The 24615-nt window shown below is 43.9% G+C and overlaps 1 protein-coding gene and 1 long non-coding RNA gene across 3 annotated transcripts in view, besides 3 other annotated features; one reads left to right on the top strand and one right to left on the bottom strand.

Annotated features, from left to right (window-relative positions):
• Nucleotides 1-643, top strand: part of CLDN10-AS1 (CLDN10 antisense RNA 1) — a 54467-nt gene extending 53824 nt beyond the window's left edge. Inside the window, exon 4 of the long non-coding RNA NR_046533.1 lies at nucleotides 125-643. This is a non-coding gene — a long non-coding RNA (CLDN10 antisense RNA 1). The remainder of the gene's footprint in view (nucleotides 1-124) is intronic.
• The window catches only part of CLDN10 (claudin 10), a 146005-nt gene that overhangs the window by 99673 nt on the left and 21717 nt on the right, over nucleotides 1-24615 (bottom strand). The window lies entirely within an intron of this gene.
• Nucleotides 1120-1479: an enhancer, noted in NCBI's record as "active region_7878". NCBI's record gives its function as "activates an Ori minimal core promoter by ATAC-STARR-seq in GM12878 lymphoblastoid cells {active_cell/tissue: GM12878}" and the evidence as "EXISTENCE:reporter gene assay evidence [ECO:0000049][PMID:35858748]".
• Nucleotides 7912-8051: a silencer, noted in NCBI's record as "silent region_5442". NCBI's record gives its function as "represses an Ori minimal core promoter by ATAC-STARR-seq in GM12878 lymphoblastoid cells {active_cell/tissue: GM12878}" and the evidence as "EXISTENCE:reporter gene assay evidence [ECO:0000049][PMID:35858748]".
• Nucleotides 22397-22456: an enhancer, noted in NCBI's record as "active region_7877". NCBI's record gives its function as "activates an Ori minimal core promoter by ATAC-STARR-seq in GM12878 lymphoblastoid cells {active_cell/tissue: GM12878}" and the evidence as "EXISTENCE:reporter gene assay evidence [ECO:0000049][PMID:35858748]".

Genomic DNA, 24615 nt, shown 5'->3' with positions numbered 1-24615 from the left:
AGGATGTGACGTTCCTCCTTCACCTTCCACCATGATTGTGAGGCCTCCCTAGCCATGTGGAACTGTGAGTCCATTAAACCTCCTTCCTTTATAAATTCCCCAGTCTTGGGTATGTCTTTATTAGCAGTGTGAAGATGGACTAATACAAAGAGGAACTAGGGGAGCTTGGAGGAACCAGAGACTCAATCAGGGATTCAAGTGAAGTCTCTGTTGCAAACCCTTGAGCAGGTGAGAACCCCTGGACTCTTGCAGGGGATGTGGGAGGAGCTGTACATACAGACAGTGCTGTCCAGCCAATGTGGGTTCAAACCCTGCATCTGTCACTGGCTATGTGACCTTGATCAAGTTCCTTAAGGTCTCCAGGTTTGTTTTCTTATCTGTAAGATGAGAATCCTCTTCTGCAAACCATGTCTGTTTAAAATATGTGCTTATTTTGAAAGTGATGTAGCAACATTTTCTCTAGTTAATGTTCTTTCTCCCTCATAATTTTAAAACATTTATTCATGACTATAATGTTAAGTCTGTGACTTTATTTTTGCTAAATGTCCATCTCAGAGAAGAATATGACTTTATATAGCGAAGTATTTTTTAAAAAATAGCCTTAGTAATGCATATTTGCAATAAAAATATTTGACAATCCTAATACCTTCAGGCTTGTCATTGGAATGAAATGTGATAATTAAGTAAAACCCATTCTTGCTACAAAGATTTAAGTGGTGGCCACTTTTTTTCCCCCCGAGATGGAGTCTTGCTCTGTCACCCAGACTGGAGTGCAGTGGTGTGATCTCAGGTCACTGCAACCTCTGCCTCCCAGGTTCAAGCAATTTTCCCTGCCTCAGCCTCCCAAGTAGTTGGGATTACAGGCACCCGCCACCACACCCGGCTAATTTTTATATTTTTAGTAGAGATACGGTTTCACCATGTTGACCAGGCTGTTCTTGAACTCCTGACCTCGTGATCTGCCTGCCTCGGCCTCCCAAAGTGCTGGGATTACAGGCATGAGCCACTGCACCCGGCCGGTGGCCACTATTTATTAGGAAGCTTGTTATCTTCTACCACTGCACCTGCTGATGATTGCTCTCACAGGCACTTAACCACTGGCTAATAAAATGAAAGTTCCTTAAACCTTACGCACAGGAAGCCACTTAGGCTGCAGTTGCAGCCCTGTGCCAGGGCAGTGCTTGGCCAGTGACCTATAACTCCCTGAGGCTCCTTGTGAGGGAGCAACTCCTGAAGTCACATGGCGAAGATGCTCACAGGACATGATTCTTAGGATGATCCCACCTGTCGAGACCACAGGCTGTAACTCACTGTCACAAGTTAGTGATGAACGCGGAACCTTAATGAAACCGCCAGCGACAGCTGTGCCATACTGCAAGTCACCACTAGGGGGAAGCAGAATACAAGCATCCGGGTAAGAACCAACGAAGCGCTGAGGAACGTGGCCCAGGAAGCCAAATGGGGATGGGAGGGGAGAAGGATCCTAGGCGCACCCTCCCTGTTCACCCCACCCACCGGGCAGACCTGCACACTCCTGGTCTTGCTCTCAAACCATCTGATTCCTCTGTTTCTCTGTTCTCTGGTCCTGGTACAGCACATTATATCTTCCGTATGGCAAAGGCCAGTGGTTCTCTAACATGGCTGTATGTTTAAATCACCTGGGGAGTTCTGTAAACGCTCTACATCCTGGCCTTATCTCAATTAAATCTGAATCTCCAGTGTTTGGAAGCAGGGATCAGTGCTTTTTATATTTATTTATTTACTTGCTTATTTATTTTTGAGACAGAGTCTCACTCTGTTGTCCAGGCTGGAGTGCAGTGGTGCGATCTTGGCTCACTGCAACCTCAGCTCCCTGGGCTCAAGCGATTCTCATGCCTCAGCCTCCCAAGTAGCTGGGACTACAGGCATGCACCACCATGTCCAGCTATTTTTTTTTTCTATTTTAGTTGATATGGTGTTTTGCCATGTTGGCCAGGCTGGTCTTGAACTTCTGACTCAAGTGATCTGCCAGCCTCAGCCTCCCAAAGTGCTGGAATTATAGGCATGAGCCACTGTGCCTGGCCTCCAGAGCTTTTTAAAACACAACAGGTGATTCCAATTTGCAGCCAATTTTGAGAACCACTGTTTTAGGCAAAAGATCTCATTTCTTTTCACATGAAAGCTGGCTTTCATTGTTAGAGGACTCCTCCAAGAAGCCTCCCTAACGAACCACACGTTTTCCTCCTCCTCCTCCATCTGTCCACGGGCCTGTCTGCAGCTGATGCCAGTACTTATCATGGCTTAAGATACATATGGGTTACCTGAGGGTGTTGCAGATTCAGATTCGTTCAGTCTGGGGTGAGGGGTTGAGACGCTGCCTCTCTAAGTCCCAGGTGCTGCTGGTCCACAGACCATCCACAGTAGGGTTGGCAGGACATCAACCTGTGTTTCCGCATGTGCACCTTTGCAGTTGTTCTCTGTTTTGCATTCCTTTTCTGCTTCTGTATTAACCATGTTTCTCCTTTCTGTAAACCTGATGCTTTAACATCTGCCCCGCGTGCATCTGCAGGACACACCTTGCTCTGTGCAACCCAATAATATGTCTCCCTCACTGTCCCCCTCCCCCTGGAAGGAGTCCTCCGGGTGATATGCTTTTCAAATGAAAACCAACCCAGAGCTCGCATCCCAACCAATTCCCTTATCTGGCTCTCACACTCCAGGCCACTATCCCCCTGCCCTAATCACCCAGGACCAGGTATCTGACAAATAGGAACAGCCTGTATGCCCCAGAGCCTGCTGAAATGATTTAAACTAGCCAGTCCTGAGCTAGCTAACCCTGCCTTGCCCACTCTTTCCTGTGGAAACCATAATAAGGGCTCTGGCCACGTTCTCTTCTCCCTCTGCCTCTTGACCAGCCCTCGTGCTGCCCCGGGTGTCCCTGCATGGCGTGGCGTGCCCACTTCTCTTAGATCTGAGAGTAAGAAACTCTCTCTTCAGTGAGAGTCATCATCTGATCTATTGGCCTCACCAAAGCTGAATAAAATTAAAACCTATTAGAGCAACTCCCCTGCTAGGAGGAGAGGCGTGGCTGGTTCCCAACTTGTCTGCATCCCGCCTCTCCTCCCAGTCTTGCTTGGGTCCCTGCTATGCTGCTCATGGTATGAACACAAGACCCTGTACACACACAGAAAAGAGCACAATCAGTGACTGTTGAATGAATAAGTGAACAAATGTAGGGAGAAAAATTCTGAACTTGGAGACCTGGCTCTGCCACTAACAGCTGTGAGAGATTGTGAAGGTGCCCCCGAGACTCAGTGACTTCATCTGTCCTGTTATTTCATAGTGAGGCCACCTGAGCAATATGTGTTAAAGCCCCTTTTCATCCACATGGTAGCATCCTCCTTTCTCTCTCCATCTCCTACTTGTCACTGGTGTTCAGGGTTCCAGCCTTGCCCTTCACACACTGCCTGGGAGGTCCCATCTGTTTCTGAGTCTTTGAATCTTCACCCACAGCTGCTATGGTCTGAATATCTGTGTCCCTCCAAAATTCACACGTTGAAATCCAAATGCCCAAGGTGATGGCGTTGGGAGGTGGGGCCTTCGGGAGGTGATTAGATCTTGAGGGTGGAGCCCCCATTAATGGGATTAGTGCCCTTATACAGAAGGCTCCGGAGAGCTGCCTCACTTCTGCCACCACGTGAGGACACAGAGAGAAGACTCACCTGTGAATCAGAAAGCAGCCCTCACCGGACACCAAATCCATCAGCACCTTGACCTTGGACTTACTTCCCACCCTCCAGAACCGTGGGAAATACATTTCTGTTGTCTATGAGTTACCCGATCTAAGGCATTTTGTTATAGCAGCCTGAACAGACTAAGACACCAGCTCAGGCTCCCCTCTTGAGCTCCACACACGTCTAACCAAATGCCGACAATCCATCTCTATCCTGTCAACCTGCCTGTAAGTCATATTTGACACATTCAAAATCGAGTTTATCATGCCTTTGCGCCTCCCAAACCAGCTCCTCCCCTCATATGTCCTATCACCACAAGTGCCCAGAAGGGGAGTGGCACACGGAAGGAAGCAATCTGGGCGATGGGGGTGGAATTAGATGGCAGAGATTTGTGACAAGCATAGAAGACCACCCAGCACGCTCAGGGGCAGCATCAATCATAAGTCACATCACAGCAGAGCCATGGTGCTCATCACAGCAGAGCCATGGTGCTCAAGTCCCGACAGGGAGAGAGGGTGAGGGAGAGAGAGAGAGAGAGGGAAAGAGGGAGAGAGAGGGACAGAGAGAGACAGAGAGAGAGAGAGAGATGCAGGGACCCTCGACCCATGCAGGTGGGCTTGGGATCATGAGAGCACATGAGGATAGACCCCAGGCTGGCTTCACTGAGACGCCACCCAGAGAAAGGCAGCTGGAGGATGAGGTGGGAATGGAGCCCTTGCCACCTTCCTGGAGCTCCAAGCCAGTCACCCTCACCAGGGGCCCAGAGGCCATTGGGGCAAACAGCACTGAAACTCTTTCAAACCCTGCTGGCCACTTCCCTCCCTTGGGGAGCAGCAGAGAAGCCCACTGGTGGCCAGTGCTCAGTCAGCACAGCTGAGGTGGGCTGGCAAAACTCCTGGCTCTCTCTGTCTCCGAGAATTGGCTGGGGCATCTGATGGTGGTTGCAGAGCCTCATCTCCCCTCTCTTGAACTTAGCGGAGATCAGGCTCAGCAGATCTGCCCAGGTCCCCAGGAGGCCGGGCTGGTTACAGTCTCTGGGGACCAGGTGCTCCCCTTTTGAACCAAGGTTATTTCTCCCAACCAGGGAGCTTCCATAATCACAGGGATGTCCCCTGACCCCATCCCTACAAATATGTAGAGTGCAAGGGAGCAGGCAGCAGGGGGCAGGGGTGGGCTCTTAATCCCTGGCAGGGAGCTGCTGCCGTCTGATCCTCTGATCCGAGTTGTGGGACAGCACTGGGTGTGTGCTCCTACTTCCTGGCTTATAGGTTTCCTCCTCTGTGTGGCACCAGCATGTGTGTCCTTGACTCCTTAGCAGAGAGGAGCCAATTCACTCTGTCTGTGAAGCCAAAACACAAGAGACCTGCAAGTTTTGAACCCTCCTCTCCACCAAGATGTGAGACGTATACTGGCAGATCCCTGAGATCCCATTAGGCTCAGGCCCTCCACCCACCGCCTCTTCTGGGCTCAAGCCTCCCTCTGGCACCTGCAGCACAGAACAGCCTCCTCCAGCCTGGCTCCACGCCTGCCCCACCCCCATCTTCCTCCACCCTACCCCCTGGAATGAGCTTCCCAAAAGGCAGATCTTACCAGGTCTCTCTCCTCCTTGGAGCACTTATCAATCTCTACTTGCCTTTTCCATTCTCTTCTCCCCATCCGTTTCTACATATGGGTTTCCTCCCCAGTTTCACTGAGACAGGGCCATTGCCCTTGCAGGCCTCCCTGCTGTTTCTGAATACACAGCTTCTTCTTGGATTTGTTCTCTTACTCTCTTCCCTGCTAGAAGCCGTGGCTAACCTGTTCTTATCTTCCCTGACTGAGGTGGGCCTATTTCTCCGCTCTGTGCTCATAGCAGCCTCCTCTAACCTCCATTTGAGACTTTGTTTTATTGCAGGGGTCCCCAACCCCTGGGCCATGGGCTGGTACCAGTCTGTGGCCTGTTAGGAACTAGGCCGTACAGCAGGAGGTGAGTGGCAGGCAGGTGAGTGAAGCTTCATCTGTATCTGCAGCTGCTCCCCATGGCTCACATCACCACCTGAGCTCCGCCTCCTGTCAGATCAGCTGGGCATTAGATTCTCATAGGAGCACGAACCCTATTGCAAACTGCACATACGAGGGATCTGGGTTCCCTCCTCCTTATCAGAATCTAATGCCTGATGATCTGTCACTCTTGATGATCTGTCACTGTCTCCCATCACCCCCAGATGGGACCGTCTAGTTTCAGTAAAACAAGCTCAGGGCTCCCACTGATTCTACGTTATGGTGAGTTGTATAATTATTTCATTATATATTGCAATGTAATCATAATACAAATAACCTGCACAATAAATATAATGCATTTGAATCATCCTGAAACTACCCTGCGACCCCCGTCCGTGGAAAAACTGTCTTCCACGAAACCGGTCCCTGGTGCCAAAAAGGTTGGGGACCGCTGTTCTATTGCATTACATTCTAATACTTTATTTTTTATTTCTGTTTCCTTCACTGTGGGCGAGCCCCTTCAGGGCAGGGGTTTGTTCCCTCCGAAGCTTAACAGCCTGGCGGCAGAGCTGGCCTTTGAAGGTTTTCTGTGAAATGAGTTCACCGGTGATTCTCCAGATGTGGTCCCTGAACCAGCAGCATAGCAGGGCCCAGGAACCTGTGAGAAATGCAATTCTCAGTCCCGCCCTGACCTGCCGAGTCAGAGCTCTGGGGACGGCACCCGGTCCTCAGCCCTCGGTTCCCGTAGCCCTTCTGGGTGATTCTCATGCATGCTCTCATTAGAGGTCAGCTGAATAAGGCACGTGAGAGCCTAATGAAATATGATGTGAATGGGATTTGCTATTACTACTCAGCCTAGACTGAAGGATCCTGGGGTGGTGAGCGGCCGAGGGCGGAGCTGTTCCCTGGCCCCCCATCCTCATCACTTGGCATGCAGGCTGCCTGAGGCACCCGAGGCGCATCTCTTCCTCAGCCCTTGTTAGACCATGTTATTTCTTTTTTAATTTTAATTTTTAGTTCTGGGGTACATGTGCAGGATGTGTAGGTTTGTTACACAGGTAAATGTGTGCCATGGTGGTTTGTTGCATCTATTAACCCATCACCTAGGTCTTAAGCTCAGCATGCATTAGCTATTTTTCCTAGTGCTCTCAATTGTGTTGTTAGTAATACACACGGAAGTTCTAGGGAGGAACCCAATGCCCAAAGAGAGACCCTTGATTCTCTCTCTCTCTCCTTTTTTTTTTTTTTTTTTTTGAGATAGGTTTTCACTCTGTCACCCAGCTTGAAGTGCTGTGGTACGATCGTAGCTCACTGCAGCCTCAAACTCCTGGGCTTAAACAATCCTTCTACCTCAGCCTGTTGAGTAGCTGGGACCACAGGTGCATGCCACCACACCCAACTAATTTTTAAATTATTTGTACTGACAAGTCTCCCTGTGTTGCCCAGGCTGCTCTTGACCTCCTGGGCTCAAACAATCATCCTGCCTCAGCCTCCCAAAGTGCGGGGATTACAGGTGTGAGCCACTGCACCAGGACAGAGAGCACCTGATTCTAGGAGCCATGGTTGGGACATCCAAGTGGAACTCTGTGGTCATAGAACCGGGTTTCTCATCCCACACTCTCAAATTAAAAACATTTTGCTACGGGAATCAGCTCCCTTTTGCCTTAGAGTTTCTGTTTTACCTGTAGTGACAAGTATCCCACTCTATTTTTTTTTTTTTTTTTGAGACGGAGTCTCGCTCTGTTGCCCAGGCTGGAGTGCAGTGGTGTGATCTTGGCTCACTGCAACCTCTGCCTCCTGGGTTTAAGCAATTCTCCTGCCTTAGCTTCCCAAGTACCTGGGATTACAGGCACACACTACCACACCCGGCTAATTTTGTATTTTAAGTAGAGCCATGTTGGACACACTGGTCTCAAACTCCTGACCTCAAGTGATCTACCCACCTCGGCCTCCCAAAGTGCTGGAATTACAGATGTGAGCCACTGTGTCTGGCCTATCGCACTATATTTTAAAATTTGGTCTAAAGGAGTTGATGATGAGTTTCTTTTAGCCTTTTATTTTTTGTCTGTTGGTTTTTGAATGTATTTGTTATCAGTATCTGGAGTTTGAAAAAGAAAGAACCTCATTTTATGAGCTCTGTAGTGGGAGGGCTGCTTGCTATCACTGGATTTTCTCCCATGGCCTAGTACTACCATATCTGCTTCTAGAGTGTGCTCAGCAAATAGTGGTTTTTGATTACTCAAAGCAAAACTGAGAAGCCATTTAACAGGCTGGGAAATAATTTCTTCAGCACTGAAGAATATATCCATAGGCTGGGCACAGTGGCTGACACCTGTAGTCCCAACACTTTGAGAGGCTGAGGCTGGAGGATCGCTTGACTGCAGGAGTTCGAGACCAGCCTGGGCAATAAAGCAGACTCTATCTCTACCAAAAAAAAAAAAAAAAAAAAAAATAGCTGAGTGTGGTGGCATGCGCCTTGTAGTCCCAGCTACTTGGGAGGCTGAGGCGGGAAGACTGAGGCTGCAGTGAGCCATGATGATTGAGCCCCAGAGGCTGAGGCTGCAGTGAGCTGTGATGGCGCCCCTGCACTCCAGGCTGGTGACAAGAGTGAGACTCTGTCTCTGTTTAAAAGAGAAAAAAAAGGTTAGGTGCAGTGGCTCATGCCTGTAATCCCAACACTTTGGGAGGCCAATGAGGGTGGATCACCTGATGTCAGGAGTTCGAGGCCAGCCTGGCCAACATGGTGAAACCCTGTCTTTACTAAAAATACAAAATTAGCCAGGTGTGGTGGTGAGCGACTGTAATCCCAGCTATTTAGGAGGCTGAGGCAGGAGAATCACTTGAACCCTGGAGGTGGAGGTTGCAGTGAGCGAAGATCACACCACTGCCCTCCAGCCTGGGCGACAGAGCAAGACTCCATCTCAAAAAAAAAAAAAAAAATATATATATATATGTGTGTGTGTGTGTGTGTGTGTATATGTGTGTGTGTATATATACATGTGTGTGTATGTTATATATATACACACACACACACATATATATCCATAAGTCAGAGCTGAAGTTCTGGTGAGCACTTCTTGGAGTTCTGTGACAAGCCCCTCCACTGGTGGTCTAACTCCTGCCTTCCTCGCTTGAGTCATCTCGAGACAGTCACTCCAACATGCCTTACTCTTTCAGTTCCTTGAATTCCCTGAACTCCCGTTGTTCTGGACCTTTGGATCTGTCTTTCCCCTGCCTGGAAATTCTCCTCCCCTTTTCCTTCAGGTCACAGTGAAATCATTTGGCTCAGAGTGGCTTCTAATCCTCTGTGAGGCTAGGACTTTACCCTTTTCCGTGCTCATGCTCTCGGGCTTTCCTGTAACCTCTCCTTTCTCGTCTCCTTTCCCCCTCTAGCCTGGAAGAGCAGGAACTGTGTCTCCTTCACTTTCCCCAGCACCTATCTCAGAGCCGGGCCCGCAGTAGGGGCTCATGCATTTGTTGGCTGGCGTTAACGTGAACCAGCACGTCGGCTGTGGATGAATAACTTTCCAGGTCCCAAAATTGTCCACTTGCTTCTCTTTCACCGTTGGGCTGAGAACGTAGCTACTAATAAACCCGGAGTGGGAGGGGGTATCAGTAACAGAGACAAGTGTGTGATTGAAATGGAAGACAGCTGGAGAGAAGAGAACAGAAATAGGCAGGACGTGCACGGCCAGCAGGAAGTTGCTGTGATTCCCGCAAAGCATGTCTTTTCATTCGTGAAGAGGGGTCCCTAAGATGAGAGTTCCATGGAGACTTTCCCTAAGGGCTCACTATGCCTTATTCTCTGATATGTTGAGCCTTCGGGGGTTGGCTGTAAATAGAGACTGAACTTTGACTTAGAAGAAAAAGGGGAGAGAAGAACATGTTGTATCTCTTTGTGTAAATGGTTACTACTCGCTCCCCAAACAAGCTACTTTAATAGGGGCATCACACAAATTATAGAATACAGGTCTCTCATCCAGCCAGCCATGATGGTGCGCACCTATGGTTCCAGCTGCTTGGAAGGCTGAGGTGGGAGGTCCTTTGAGCCCAGGAGTTCAAGGTTCAAGTCCAGCCTAGTTAACATAGCAAGACTCTCTAAAACAAAACAACAAAACAAAAACAATCTAATCTTAGGATTAGAAAGGACAAGGACACCAGATGTCATCAAGTCCCATCCTTTGACCTCTGTAGGAATTCCCTGTGCATATTTCTGGTAAGAATTCACTAATCCACTAGTTGTCAGTTCTCCACTTCACTAACTTATGGGGCAGCCTAGTTCCATATTTGCAGGGTTCTAGTTGTTGAAAAAGTCCATGTAGCCCAGTACATTGTATGTAGTGGTGGTTTATTGAATGAGATACATGAACACAGACAACATTTATAATCGAGACTTTAGAAATTATTTTCAAGTACTGTTGTATTGTTTTAAAAATAGAATACGGTGAGAAGATTGTCTTAAATGTTTGACATAGTGTCTCCAGCTTTCAGATCATACCAGATACATATTCAATTTATCACCTGGGCAAGTAAAAAATTAAAAAGACAATAAAGCCTGTCTTGTTATATACTTAGAGCCAATTACTCAATATTTACCAAATAGCCCACCAAATGTCTCATAAGCATTTTTTGAGTGTGTTCAGTCTTGAGATTGAACTTTCAGAACGGGCCTCCCTTGCTCATCCTGGGCTCATGATGATCCGCTTCAGCATTTACACAAGGAGAGCAAGGGAACAGCACAGATCAATGGAAAGGAGACAGCAGATTATTTTCCAGTTCTATCCCTGCTACTAACTAGTGGTGAGATCTTAGGTAAGTTGCTAGACACTGCTGGATCTTAGTTTCCTCCTCTGTAGACTACGGTGATTAAACCAGGTGGCCTTCAAGGTTCAGTACCACTGTAACCCTCTGTGGCTCTAAAACTTTACATTTTCCTCCTAAAGACAAAAGCTTCATGAGTGAATTTAACTCTCATCCCATTGAATAACTGATCAGTAGCAACAATGTGCTCCTACTAAATATAGAAGGTGAAGTTAAATATGGAATATAGCTGTCCACATCCCCTGAATTCGCAGAAACTTAGGTTAATAGTTGGCTACATCACTCAGATCATAATCTCTCCATGGCACATCATTTCTGCCTTCATAGTTGGCTAAAATACCTGGATGTCAGCTGAATCTAGACTTTTTTAATGATTCTATTTTTAAACTACAGTCATGAGACCACATAATCCTAGTGGGGTAAATGCCAGAGGAAGAAAAAAAAAAAAAAGAAACAGAAAACAAAACCAAAAAACTGTAAAGAAATCTGAAGTGGTTTTCCATAATTCTCTTTTTAGAATAATTTTTTCTCTGATATGATATTTTCTGATAGTAAGGTATGATTATTATGAAATCATAATGTATTTAGTAGAAAAATAAATTACATTATTTCATTAGGAGCTAAGGTTTTCAGTGCAAGAAAAATATAAATATCAAATCAAAGAAGTTAAATAAAAACCTTCTATCCTAAGTTTGAATTGGAAATATTAATAAGAACACATGATGTGTTTTATGGTAAAATACACTATTCTTAGCTCTGTCTGTTGAAAAGGCCTAGATACCTTGACTAAGAGTAGCTAAGTGTGTCCTTAGCACCCAGGCCGTTTTCTTTCTTCATTTTTTTTTTTGAGACAGGGTCTCACTCTGTCACCCAGGGTGGAGTGCAGTGGCGTGATCTTGGCTCACTGAAACCTCCACCTCTGGGGTTCAAATGATCCTCCCACCTCAACCTCCCAAGTAGCTGGGATTACAAGTGTATGCCACCATACCTGGCTAATTTTTGTATTTTTAGTAGAGATGGGGTTTCACCATGTTAGCCAGGCTGGCCTCAAACTCGTGACCTCAAGCAATCTGCCCACCTCAGCCTCCCAAAGTGTTGGGATTAAAGGCATGAGCCACATATCTGGCCTGGCCTAATGCACTCTAAATACCATTTCTGGTTAAAGTGAACAGGGTTCTTTGGAGAAATGGTCGATTCAACATCAGGGATAAGTTTGGAACATCTTGTCATATCAGCCAGCAAAGAAACTGTCAAAGACGGTAAAAGCATGCCAAAAAGACTTAGGAACCAGAGCCTATTGGCCAGAGGTAAGACAATTACCAAAACAAACAAACAAACAAACAAACAAACAAAAACAGGAAGAATCCAGAATCTAATCAGGACCTAACTACTAACTACAAACTTATAGGAAATACACTCTAGGATAGTAAATTTTGTGTGTCAACTTGACTGGGCCATGGTGTGCCCAGATATTTGGTCAGACATTATTCTGGATGTTTCTGTGAGGGCGTTTTTAGATGAGATTAATATTTAAATTGGTAGACTAAGTAAAGCAGATTCCTCCCTTTTTGGATCATTGTAGACCTCATCCTACAGTTGAAGGCCTGAATAGAACAAAAAGGTTGACCCACCCTAACTAAGAGAGAATTCTTCCCATCTGACAGCCTTCCAGAGGGAGCATCAACGTTTTTCCTGTCTTTGAACCAGAACTGAAACATCAGCTCTTCCTGAGTTTTGAGCCTGCTGGCCTGTGGACTGAACCACACCATCAGCTCTGCTGTTTCTCAGTTTTTCAGATTACACTCTCTTGGGGCTCCAGGTGGTTGGCTGCAGATCTTGGGACCTGTTTGCCTCCATAATTATGTGACCCAATTCTTTGTAATAAATCCTTCTTTCTCTCTCTTTCTTCTATTGATTCTGTTTCTCTGGAGAAACTTGGCTAAGCCACACCTCCACAGGGATAAAATCAACAAAAAGCAGAGTATAGGACATTTTATAGGCCAACAGAAAGTATTACTCATCAACAAATAAATTGCCCCCCCCAAAAAAAACAATAGAGGGAGGGGTAATTTATAGATTAAAAGATATTTAAAAGGCATATTCACCAAATGCAATGGAAGAGCCTTAGTTTGGATTCCTATTTGAACAAACCAAGTTTTAAAAAAAGTATGAGACTATCAGGGATATTTGGAACATTTCCTGGATACTTGATGATGTTATGGAAATATTGTTGATTTTTTTTGGATGCAATGACATTTACAGGGCTATGCTTTTAAAAGTCCTTAAATTTTAGAGATATATACTGGAATATTTATGAATAAAATAATTTCAGTATCTGGAATCTGCTTCAAAATAATTCATCAAGAGTAGGAGTATGGGTTAAAAGTAGAGGGGGTGGCTGGGCGCGGTGGCTCACACCTGTAATCCCAGCACTTTGGGAGGCTGAGGTGGGCAGATCATGAAGTCAGGAGATCAAAACCATCCTGGCTAACATGGTGAAACCCCATCTCTGCTAAAAATACAAAAAAAAAAAACGGGCATGGTGGCAGGCGCCTGTAGTCCTAGCTACTCGGGAGGCTGAGGCAGGAGAATGGCATGAACCAAGGAGATGGAGCTTGCAGTGAGCCGAGATCATGCCACTGCACTCCAGCCTGGGAGACAGAGCGAGACTCTGTCTCAAAAAAAAAAAAAAAAAAGTAGAGGGGGTATAGAGGAAACAAAACTGGTCATGTGTTGATAATTGTTGAAGAATACAAGATCAGAATATGGGGGATTATTATACTATTTTCTCTACTTTTGTACATTATTTCTATACTAAAATTTTTACAAGTAAATGCTTTATTTTTTTTGCCTACCTTGACGTTAAACTTATATTTTTAAGGCATCAATGACAAGTTATTCCTTTCTTGTCTATTACAGATATATTTCCACTTGCCTCCTAAGCTGTATGATTTTTTTTTCATTTGCTTCCTAAACTATATGATTTCAGTTCTCCTTTATCTCATGAGGAGGGTTCCCATTTACTTTGTCATATATATTTACATGTAGTGATTTGTTAAATTATTATTTCAAAATTATTACTGAAATGCACATTCTCTGGTTCAAGCTCCAATGGGTTCTCACTGCCTTGTTATAAAGCCAGGCAGCCTCACTTTAACAGTCAAAGCCTATCATCATCAAGCTCTACCCAACACATCAGACAAGCGCTTCCAAAAAATAGAAGAGAGGAAACACTTCTCAATCCATTTTATGAGACCAATATTACCCCAACACCAAAAGCAGACAACAACATCAAAAAAAAGAAAGAAAAAGAAAACTACAGACTAATATCCACATTTTAGTGAATAGTAAAATCCTCAATAAAGTAATAGCAAACCGAATCCAGACACATATAAAAAGAATTTTACACTTGAAAATGGTTCAAATGGCAAATTTTATGTTATATATATTTTACCACTATTTTTAATAGTAAAGTAAATAAATAGTGGTAAAATATATATAACATAAAAATATTTTTAAAATAGTAAAATAAATAAATAAACATAAACATACACCATGACTAAATGGGATTTATCTCAGGGATTCCAGGTTGGTTTAATATTAGAAAATCAATTAATGGAATACATTATATTGATAGAATAAACAGAAAATCACACAATCATCTCAGTAGACACAGAAAATACATTTGACAAAATCCAAGTTCATTAACTCCCAGATAAACAGCACCTATTCTAGAGGATCTCTAAACATAATGAGATGACAGTAGCGAAGAAAGACTCTGAGTATCGAAGGTGAATGGATCTCAGAGATTGCCACAGGAAAAGATATCTTTTTGAATCTAGTGGAGAAAATCTTTGTAAATCTACTTTTATCATAAACAATGCCAGCATGAATGACTTATCCAAGATCTAAGAGGAGTGTAGAATGAAAACTCTTAAATGATAGGAAGTGTGTGTATTTCTCCTTTGCCGCTGGCATGGTTATTCACCTGCCAGGTGGCCAGTGAGTATTTTTGTAGTGAATGGCTTGGAGTTTTAGGGCAAGTACTCTAGACTTAAACTTAACTTTCCTGGCTGTGTGATTGTAAGCAAATTACTTAACCTTAAAGTCTCAGCATTTTGCTTATTGTTTCATCTCTAAAGTTAAGATAATAATTCTACTACCATAAGTGAGGGTTTTAAAACACAGTATCAGCGGGGCATGGTACACCTGTGATATGGTTTGGCTCTGTGTCCCCACCCAAATCTCAAGTTGAATTGTACTGCCATAATTCCCACGTGTTGTGGGAGGGACCCAGTGGGAGATAATTGAATCATGGGGGCGGTTTTCCCCATACTGTTTTAATGGTTGTGAATAGGTCTCACAAGATCTGATGGTTTAATAAGGGGCTTCTACTTTCGCTTCTGCCTCATTCTCTCTTTCTGCCACCAAAAGGCAAAAGTGTCTTTTGCCTTCTGCCATGATTGTGAGGCCTCCCCAGTCACGTAGAACTGTGAGTCCATTAAATTTATTTTCTTCCCAGTCTCAGGTATGCCTTTATCAGCAGTGTGAAAATGGACTAATACAACCTGTTACCCTAGCACTTTGGGAGGCCAAGGTAGGCGGATGACTTGAGGTCAGGAGTTTGAGACCAGCCTGGGCAACATGGTGAAACATCATCTCTACAAAAAATACAAAAATTAGCCATGTGCTGCACACCTGTAATTCCAGCTACTTGGGAGGCTGAGGCGGGAGGATCACTTGAGCCTGGGAGGCAGAGGTTGCACTGAGCCAAGATCACGCCACTGCACTCTAGCCTGGGTGACAGAGTGAGGCCCTGTCTCAAAAAAAAAAGCAAAAACACAGTATCTTTGAAATGTGCAGCACTGCAGCATGGCGTCTGGGACATGTACACCCTTGTCATCATGAACAACATCCAAGACCATAAAAATCACGGGTCTCCAGCCATCCCATTACTGGGTATACACCAAAGGAATATCAATCATGCTGCTATAAAGACACATGCACATGTATGTTTATTGCGGCACTACTCACAATAGCAAAGACTTGGAACCAACCCAAATGTCCAACAATCATAGACTGGATTAAGAAAGTGTGGCACATATACACCATGGAATACTATGCAGCTATAAAAAATGATGAGTTCATGTCCTTTTTAGGGACATGGATGAAGCTGGAAACCATCATTCTCAGCAAACTATCGCAAGGACAAAAAACCAAACACCGCATGTTCTCACTCATAGGTGGGAATTGAACAATGAGAACACTTGGACAAGGAAGGGGAGCATCACACACCGGGGCCTGTTGTGGGGTGGGGGAAGGCGGGAGGGATAGCATTAGGAGATAAACCTAATGTAAATGACGAGTTAATGGGTGCAGCACACCAGCATGGCACATGTATACATATGTAACAAACCTGCACGTTGTGCACATGTACCCTAGAACTTAAAATATAATAAATATATATATATATATTTAAAAAAAATCATGGGTCTGTCTTGGGACTATTAGGCTTGCCAGTTGTATACATAAATGTTAGATTAGACAGCTTCATAATACCAAGTTAAAAATGACTAATGTCCTTGTGTAATGAATAAACTTGCTCCAATAACCTTGAAAATGAAAGAAAAGTTTGATCACAGAGTGAAATTTAATTCAGACAATTTCAGCAGCTGTGTATTTCAGATAAACCCATAAATGGCACAAAGAAATGATAGCCCTAGCTGAGTTGTCCAAAAAAGAGGGTTTGGACAACTCTTTTTGTCCAAAGACAAAAAGAGGCAAGTCCTTAGCCTGTGTATTGGGTCACTGCCAAGAGATGATGTTGTCCATGTGGAGGCAGAGAGTGAACTTCCTTCAGTTCTGACTGACTGCTGTAAATAGTGTCACATGGCTAAACCTGTGTAAGTAGTTTCAAAACCTGCTTTAAAGTATAGTTAAGGCCAGGCTCAGTGGCTCATGCCTGTAATTCCAGCACTTTGGGAGCCTGAAGTGGGAGTATTGCTTGATTCCAGGAGTTCAAGACCAGCCTGAGCAGCATGGCGAAAACCCATCTCTACAAAAAATACAAAAATTAGCCAGATGTGGTGGCACATGCCTGTAGACCCAGCCACTCAAAAGGCTCAGGTGGGAGGATCACCTGAGCCCAGGAGGCCCAGGCTACAGTGAGCCATGATCATGCTACTTAACTCCAGTCTGGGTAAAGGAGGGAGACTCTGTCTCAAAAAAAAAAAAAAAAAAAAGGCAAATATATATATATATATATATATATATATATATATATATATTAAGCATTTGCACTTTTGACTCAACTATATGTATATATACAGAAATATATATACATACATATATATGTGTATAGATAGATAGATGATAGATAGGTAGATAGTTAGATATTGATAGTTAAGAGTCAAACTCAAATGCTCTTATGGGCAAAACAATGGAGAGAAAACCTTAAGGATATTATTATAGAGAGATGTGGGTCCCTGGTTAGAGGGCTTGCCCTGTCGACAAGGATTTACATGAGAAACATTTCAGAAGCACCAACATAGCAAACACAAAGGCTCTGAAGGCCTCAGTCCTTGGCAAGCAGCTTACAGCCACTGATTAGGGGAACAAGGCATAAATTAGGCATTACTCTTTTGTATCCCTGAGCCCGTAGATTGTTTTTCTTCTTCCAATCAGATAAGAACCTTGCAGAAACTGGACTGTTAGTAGTGGAATTATAGCATCACAGTATCTTTTGAGTCGTTTATATTTTCCCCATTTCTGGTTGCTTCCAGTTCCCTTTATAAATTCTTCCTTTCCTTTTTTCTACCTAAAACTCAGCTGTTATTTAGAATGAGGTGGAACTTGGCTACCATTTCTGTTTTTTGTCTTCTTCTCCAAATACTTAATGCCTCAAACAGGTTTGTGTGTTCTGGCCTAAAAACTAACTCCTCTGCCAAGTGGTCCCCAGGCCCTGACTCCTTTTTCCTCACTTCCAGCATCTGAGAGACTCCCAACCACCCTTGTAAAGGGAACCGTGTGATAGGGCTGTGCCCACCCTAGGTCCTGCCCACATGTTTATTCTGGGCCTCTTGGCTTCCTTTGATACCCAAGTCTTTGTCCTTATGAAAGTTATTTACTTCTGAAAAATGTTTACAGAATGATGACATGAAGTCAATATTGGTTTTAATAAATTTAAATAACTTTCCTTACAGGCAGAATGAACAAAATAAGTAAAAGTGGCTATAAAGATTATAATCTGAATGTGATTTAGCAATGTAGTATTGAAAGGCAATGTTTAAAAAGGTAAAATCATAATTCATACAAATACAAATGACCATCGTTAACTCATGAGTTATTTATTATTAATTATGATTAATTAATGCAGGACTCAGTGAGGTATTACAGCTGGATTTTACAGGCTTTACCCAACAAAATTCTTCAATAGGGTTTAAGTACTACTGCATGTAAAGTGTTTATTTTTATTTTTGAGACAGGGTCTCACTCTGCCACCCAGGCTGGAGTGCAATGGCACTGTCATAACTCACTGCAGCTTTCACCTCCTGGGCTCAAGTGATCTTCCCACCTCAGCCTCCTGAGGAGCTGGAACTACAGATGGCACCATTGTGCTTGGCTAATTTTTTTTTTTTACTTTTTGTAGACATGGGGTCTTGCTATGTTGCCCAGGTTGGTCTTGAACTCCTAGCCTCAAGTGATCTTCCTGCATTGGCCTCCCAAAGTATTAGGATTACAGGCATGAGCCACTGTGCATGATCAAGTGTTTCATTAAGAACAAGTTCTGCTGTTCTGTGTCTCACAGAAGTGCACAGGTAAAGCATTTGCACTTGTGGGATCAAGTGGTAGCTTTGATTTATAAAGCAGAACTGTCATCAGGAATTTGGTTGAGGAAGCTGAAGTTGTTTTATCTCAAAGTTGTTTTCCTGGAATAATTCAGTTCTCCAAGGGAACTCTGGGATTCACAAATCATGACGAGGTCAGGAAAACAGTCATGCTAATGAAAATGGGGTCTGGTATAGGACAGGGGAAAGACCAATAACTTCTTTCTCTAAAGTAGGATGCTGGAGACACCACCATAGAACAAAAAAAGTCAAATAACTTGAGGACAGGAGTGAACAGGAATCAAAGGCAAAGGAAAAAGGTAAAGTGACTTTTAGCATAAATAAAGGCCTCAAGAAGTATCTGTTCTTTCCTCTCCTGAATGACTCCATTATGAGGGATAGAAATCAAAGAGCAATAGAATGGGGTGGAGTAGAAGTACTAGAGTGTTCTAGCTGAGCTCCACTCAAGGTCACACTATTATTTAAGAACACAGAATGCAAGGCTGGGCATGGTGGCTCACATCTGTAATCCCAGCACTTTAGGAGGCTGAGGTGGGAGGATTGCTTTGGAGTTTGAGACCGGCCTGGGCAACATAGGGAGACTGTGTCTCTAAAAAATAATTTTTTCTTCTTTTGAGACAGAGTCTCGCTGTGTCACCCAGGCTGGAGTGCAGTGAGCTGATCTCGGCTCACTGCAACCTCCACCTCCCTGATTCAAGCAATTCCCCTGCCTCAGCCTCTGGAGTAGCTGGGATTACAGGTGTGCACCACCCACATCCAGCTAACTTTTTTGTATTTTTAGTAGAGATGGGGTTTCACCATGTTGGCCAGACTGGTTTTGAACCCCTGACCTCAGGCAATCCGCCGGCCTCAGCCTCCCAAAATGCTGAGATTACAGGTGTGAGCCACCGCACCCAGCTAAAAATTAAAATTTTAGCTGAGTGCGGTGGTATGTGCCTGTAATCACAGCTACTCCAGAGGAGAGAGGCTCAGGTGGGAGGATTGCTTGAACCCAGGAGGTTGAGGCTGCAGTGAGCCATTGATATGGTTTGGCTGTGTCCTCACCCAATATCTCATCTTGAATTGTAATCCCCATAATCCTCGTAAAATCTTCACATGTCACGGCAAAGATCAGGTAGAGATAATTGAATCATGGGGGTGGTTTTCCCCACGCTGTTCTTGTGGCATTGAGTGAGTTTTCATGAGATCTAATGGTTTTATAAGGGGCTCTTTCCTTTTTGCCATGTGAAGAAGGTGGCTTTTTCGCCTTCTACCATGATTGTAAGTTTGCTGAGGCCTTCCCAGCCACAGGAACCATGAGTCAATTAAACATCTTCCCTTTATAAATTACCCAGTCTCAGGTATTTCCTTATAGCAATGTGAGAATGGACTAATACAGTCAATTGGTACCACAGAGAGTATGTTGCTGCTATAAAGATACCTGTAAATGTGGAAGCAACTTTGGAACTGGGTAACAGGCAGAGGTTGGAAGAGTTTGGAAGGTTCAAAAGAAGACAGGAAGATGTGGAAAAGTTTGAAAGTTTCTAGAGACTTGTTGAATGACTTTGACCAAAATACTGATAGTGATATTGACAATGAAGTCCAGGCTGAGGTGGTCTCAGATGGAGATGAGGATCTTTTTGGGAACTGGAATAAAGGTGACTCTTGCTGTGCTTTAGCAAAGAGACTGGAAGCACTTTGCCCCTGCCCTAGAGATCTGTGGAAATTTGAACTTGAGAGAGATGATTTAGGGTATCTGGCAGAAGAAATTTCTAAGAAGCAAAGTGTTCAAGAGGTAACTTGGGTGCTCTTGAAAGCATTCAGTTGTATGCATTCACAAAGAGATGATTTGGAATTGTAACTTATATTTAAATGGGAAGCAGAGCATAAAGTTTAGAAAATTTGCAGCCTGACAATGCAATATAAAAGAAAACCCCATTTTCTGGGGAGAAATTCAAGCAGGCTGGAAAAATTTGCATAAGTAATGAGGAACCAAATGTTAGTCACCAAGACAATGGAGAAGATGTCTCCAGGGCATGTCAGAGGTCTTCATGGCTGCCCCTTCCATCACAGGCCTGGAGGCCTAGGAGGAAAAACTGGTTTCATGGGCCAGATCCAGGGTCTTGCTACTTTGTCCAGTCTCAGGACTTGGTGCCCTGCATCCTAGCCATGGCTAAAATGGGCCAATGTACAGCGCAGACCATTGTTTCAGAGGGTGCAAGTCCCAAGCCTTGGCAGTTTACACATTGTGTTGGGCCTTCAGGTGCACAGAAGTTAATAATTGAGGTTTGAGAACCTCTGCCTAGATTTCAGAGGATGTATGGAAATGCCCAGATGTCCAGGAAGAAGTTTGTGGCAGGGGTGGAGCCCTCATGGAGAACCTCTGGTAGGGTAGTGTGGAAGGGAAAGGTGGGGTCAGAGCCCCCACACAGAGTCCCTACTAGGGCATAGCCTAGTGGAGCTGTGAGAAGAGGGCCACTGTCCTCCAGACCCCATAATGGTAGATCTACTGACGGCTTACACCATGCACCTGGAAAAGTTGCAGACACTCAACGCCAGCCTGTGAAAGCAGCCAGGAGTGGGGTTGTACCCTGCAATGCCACAGGAACAGAGCTGTCCAAGGCCATGGGAGACCACCTCTTGCATCAGTGTGACCTGGATGTAGGACATGGCGTCAAAGGAGATATTTTGGAGCTCTAAGATTTAATGACTGCCCCACTGAATTTGGACTTGCATGGGGTCTGTAGCCCCTTTGTTTTGGCCAATTTCTCCCATTTGTAACAGGTGTATTTACCCAGTGCTGTACTCCCATTGCATCTCAGAAGTAACTAACTTGCTTTTGATTTTACAGGCTCATAGGTGGAAGGTACTTGACTTGTTTCAGATGAGACTTTGGATTTGGACTTTTGGGTTAATACTGGAATGAGTTAAGAATTTGGGGGACAATTGGAAAGGCATGATTATGTTTTGAAATGTGAGGACATGAGATTTGGGAGGGGCTGGGGCAGAATGATGTGGTTTGGCTGTGTCCCCACCCAAAATCTCATCTTGAATTGTGATCCCCATAATCCCCATAATCCCTGTGTGTCAAGGGAGAGACCAGGTGGAGGTAATTGAATCATGGGAGCAGTTTCCCCCATGCTCTTCTGGTAATAGTGAGTTTTCACAAGATCTGATAGTTTTATAAGAGGTTCTTCCCCCTTCACTCATCACTTCTCCTTCCTGCTGCCTGTGAAGAAGGTGGCTTGCTTCCCCTTCACCTTCCACCATGACTGTAAGTTTCCTGAGGCCTTTCCAGCCATGCAGAAGCATGAGTTGATTAAACCTCTTTCCTTTATAAATTACCCAGTCTCAAGTATTTCCTTATAGCAATGTGAAAATGAACTAATACAGCCATGATCACCACTGCACTCCAGCCTGGGTCACAGAGCAACACTTTGTCTCAAAAAACAAAACAACAAGAACAACAAAAACACGGAGGCTATTTCTCTACCTCTTGACTCTGTGTTTGGCCATATGACTTGCTTTGACCAATGGGATGTCATAGACATGATACAATCAGAGGTCTACACAACCACTCATGTAATTGAGCTTGTTTTGCTGTGTTTTTGCCATGAAAAGTATATGCTCAGGCAAGCCTACTGTTCTAGGAGGTAGACAGGTAGAGCAGAACCAAGTCACCCCAGCCAACCTCATCTAAGGTCAGCCAACCCCCATTAGACCCCAGGTGCATAAGTTGAGTCCAGTTGAGATCAGCAAAGTCCAGCCTAGATTAGCTGAACTTCACAGGTACAAGAAATGAATGTTCATTATTGTTGTTGACCATGAGGATCTGTGGTTGTTGGTTACATAGCAATTTTCTGACAATAGCTAACTCACAGGTTGACTTATTTTCAACATACCCTAATGAGATGACAGAGATTGCTGCAGATATGCCCAGTGCAGTTTTGGCTTCCTAGAGGGTCTTCAAGAGAGTACACCCTAGAAAAAGGGCAGAAACCATCACTATATACCCAGGCTGCCTCTTCTGTTTGGAAGAGATTCTTATTTGAAAACCATTCATATGCCAGGCTAGTGGCATCCCCAGCGAAACTGAGGGTCAGAAAATAATATCTGATAACTGGGAAGAACTAAGGTCATTTCTAGTTGCAGAGTATCTGAAACTCGAGTAGGAAACTAGAGAATGGAACAAATAGTGGTAGCAACAGGGAATCCCCCTACATCAGTATGTGATTCACCAAGTACAAGGTCAAACAGATAACCACAACTGCTCTGTCAGTTCCCAAGACTGCACAGAACACAGAGCCCCAGCACCTTGCTTTGGTCCTCCCTGAGTTTCTACACACCTGGCTTCTCAACGAAAGAGGATCCATTTGCATACGAAACAAACTCTGCAATGTAGAAGATGGCTGTTTGATCTGAAGCAGATTTTGTAAGCTTGTGCAATGGTAAGAACATAATTTAACTCAACAATTTTTTTTTAGTAACTTATTAATGCTGAAAACTGGAATAATCTCCAGAGATGTGGATGGACTAGGAATTGGATCTGCCTCCATATGCCAGGGTTAAGACATAGTCCTGCTAAAGAAACAAGCAAATGCATACACAACAACAGAGGTGACCAGAAGATGGGTGCAATAAAATGCTTCTGGATCACAGGAACACTTGCGGGACCGAGACGCAACAGGAAGGCTGTGGGAGGAAGTGCTTTTGCAGAGGAACATGATGAGTTTGGTTTAGGACCTATGCTATTTACAGCCTGGCAGAGACTCCATCTGTCTTACATATTTGTACATATCAGCTCCATCTTTTTCCTATTTCTCATTCTGCTTCAATCCTGCCTGCAAATTTAAATCTCCCTTGGAGAATAGACAAAATAACTTGCTTTTTTGTGATCTGTCTTTACAAACAAAGCAAAATGCCTTATGCATAGGAGATGCCTAATGAATGTTTTCATTTTGTTTTTGTTTCATTTTGTTTTGTTTCGTTTTGTGCAGGGTCTCCCTCTGTAGCACAAGCTGGAGTGTAGTGGCATGATGACAGTTCACTGCAGCCTTGAATTCCTAGGCTCAAGCAATCCTCCCATCTCAACCTCTTAAGTAACTGAGACTAAGCTGTGCTCCATCATGACCAGCTAATTTTTTTTTTAATTTTTTGTGGAGACAGGCGTCTTATTATGTTGCCCAAGCTGGTCTTGAACTCCTGGCCTTAAGCAATCCTCCTGCCTCAGCCTCTCAAAGTGCTGAGATTACAAGAGTGAGTCACCATGCTAGGCTGATTTTTGTTGCATGAAGGAATAAATACATATTTGAATATTCTTGGACAGGGGTTTCACCTCTGCTTCCTGGAGTTCCTTAGAGAAAAGTGGGGTGGAATAGGAGAGTAGATATGGGAAAGGGGTTGGGAGATTTGTGGAGACAAGGAACAGACAAGGAATAGGTAAGAAAGCAGCGTTGGCAGAACCCAGAATTAAGATTTTTGTGAAAGTAAAGACAGGGAGTAAAGATGGGAGACGATTTACTTGGATGTGCAGATAGCAAGTGTAGTTTAATACCTACAAGATATGAAATTAAAAGTTTCACCCCAAATGATACACAATTTTATTGCCTCTGGCATCACAATAAATAAAAGCCTCTTTCAGCTTTTTTGTACCTGCCTCTGGCCTGATGCAGTCATTTTTATTGCACTGGATGGCATCTGTATTTATTATCAAACCAGGGGATTTCTGCTAAGTCATCTTGAAGTCTAACTTAGCTAGCACAACATGCTGTTTCATAATTAAATTAAAATTGCAGGATGTTTTGGATTAGAAGAATCTTCCTTCAGCCAGGCCTGAGGTTGGTAAGGGAGTGTGACCTGTATGAAATAGAATTCCCTCATCCAAAACATCCGGAACATTTCACTGGATTAATTTGTAACTCACTGGGAGATTTTTAGTTCAATTTGCTAAAGATTTTCTGTTTCCATTTCTCTTTTCAATTCAGGTCAATATACAGTTATTCAACTCTCTTATTGAAAATGATATGAAAAGTGTTATTGAGTCCAAAGAATAAACAAAATGAAAGGTAAAATGCAAACAAAGGAAGAAATGTAATGAGTGAATAAATAAGTTCTTTCATGAATAAAGAATTTATTCATGAATAAATAAATCCATTCACCCAACAAATGAACTTACAGAACCCTTATTTTTACCATGCACGAAGCTAAGTAAGTACTGTGCAGTGGAGGCAGAACTATAAGCCACAGTTTCTGTTCTCTAGGATTTTAGAATTTTG

The sequence above is a fragment of the Homo sapiens genome, chromosome 13 (genome assembly GCF_000001405.40).
Source record: "Homo sapiens chromosome 13, GRCh38.p14 Primary Assembly".
In the NCBI taxonomy this organism is placed as follows: Eukaryota; Metazoa; Chordata; class Mammalia; order Primates; family Hominidae; genus Homo; species Homo sapiens.
This window is presented reverse-complemented; position numbering and strand designations above follow the sequence as displayed.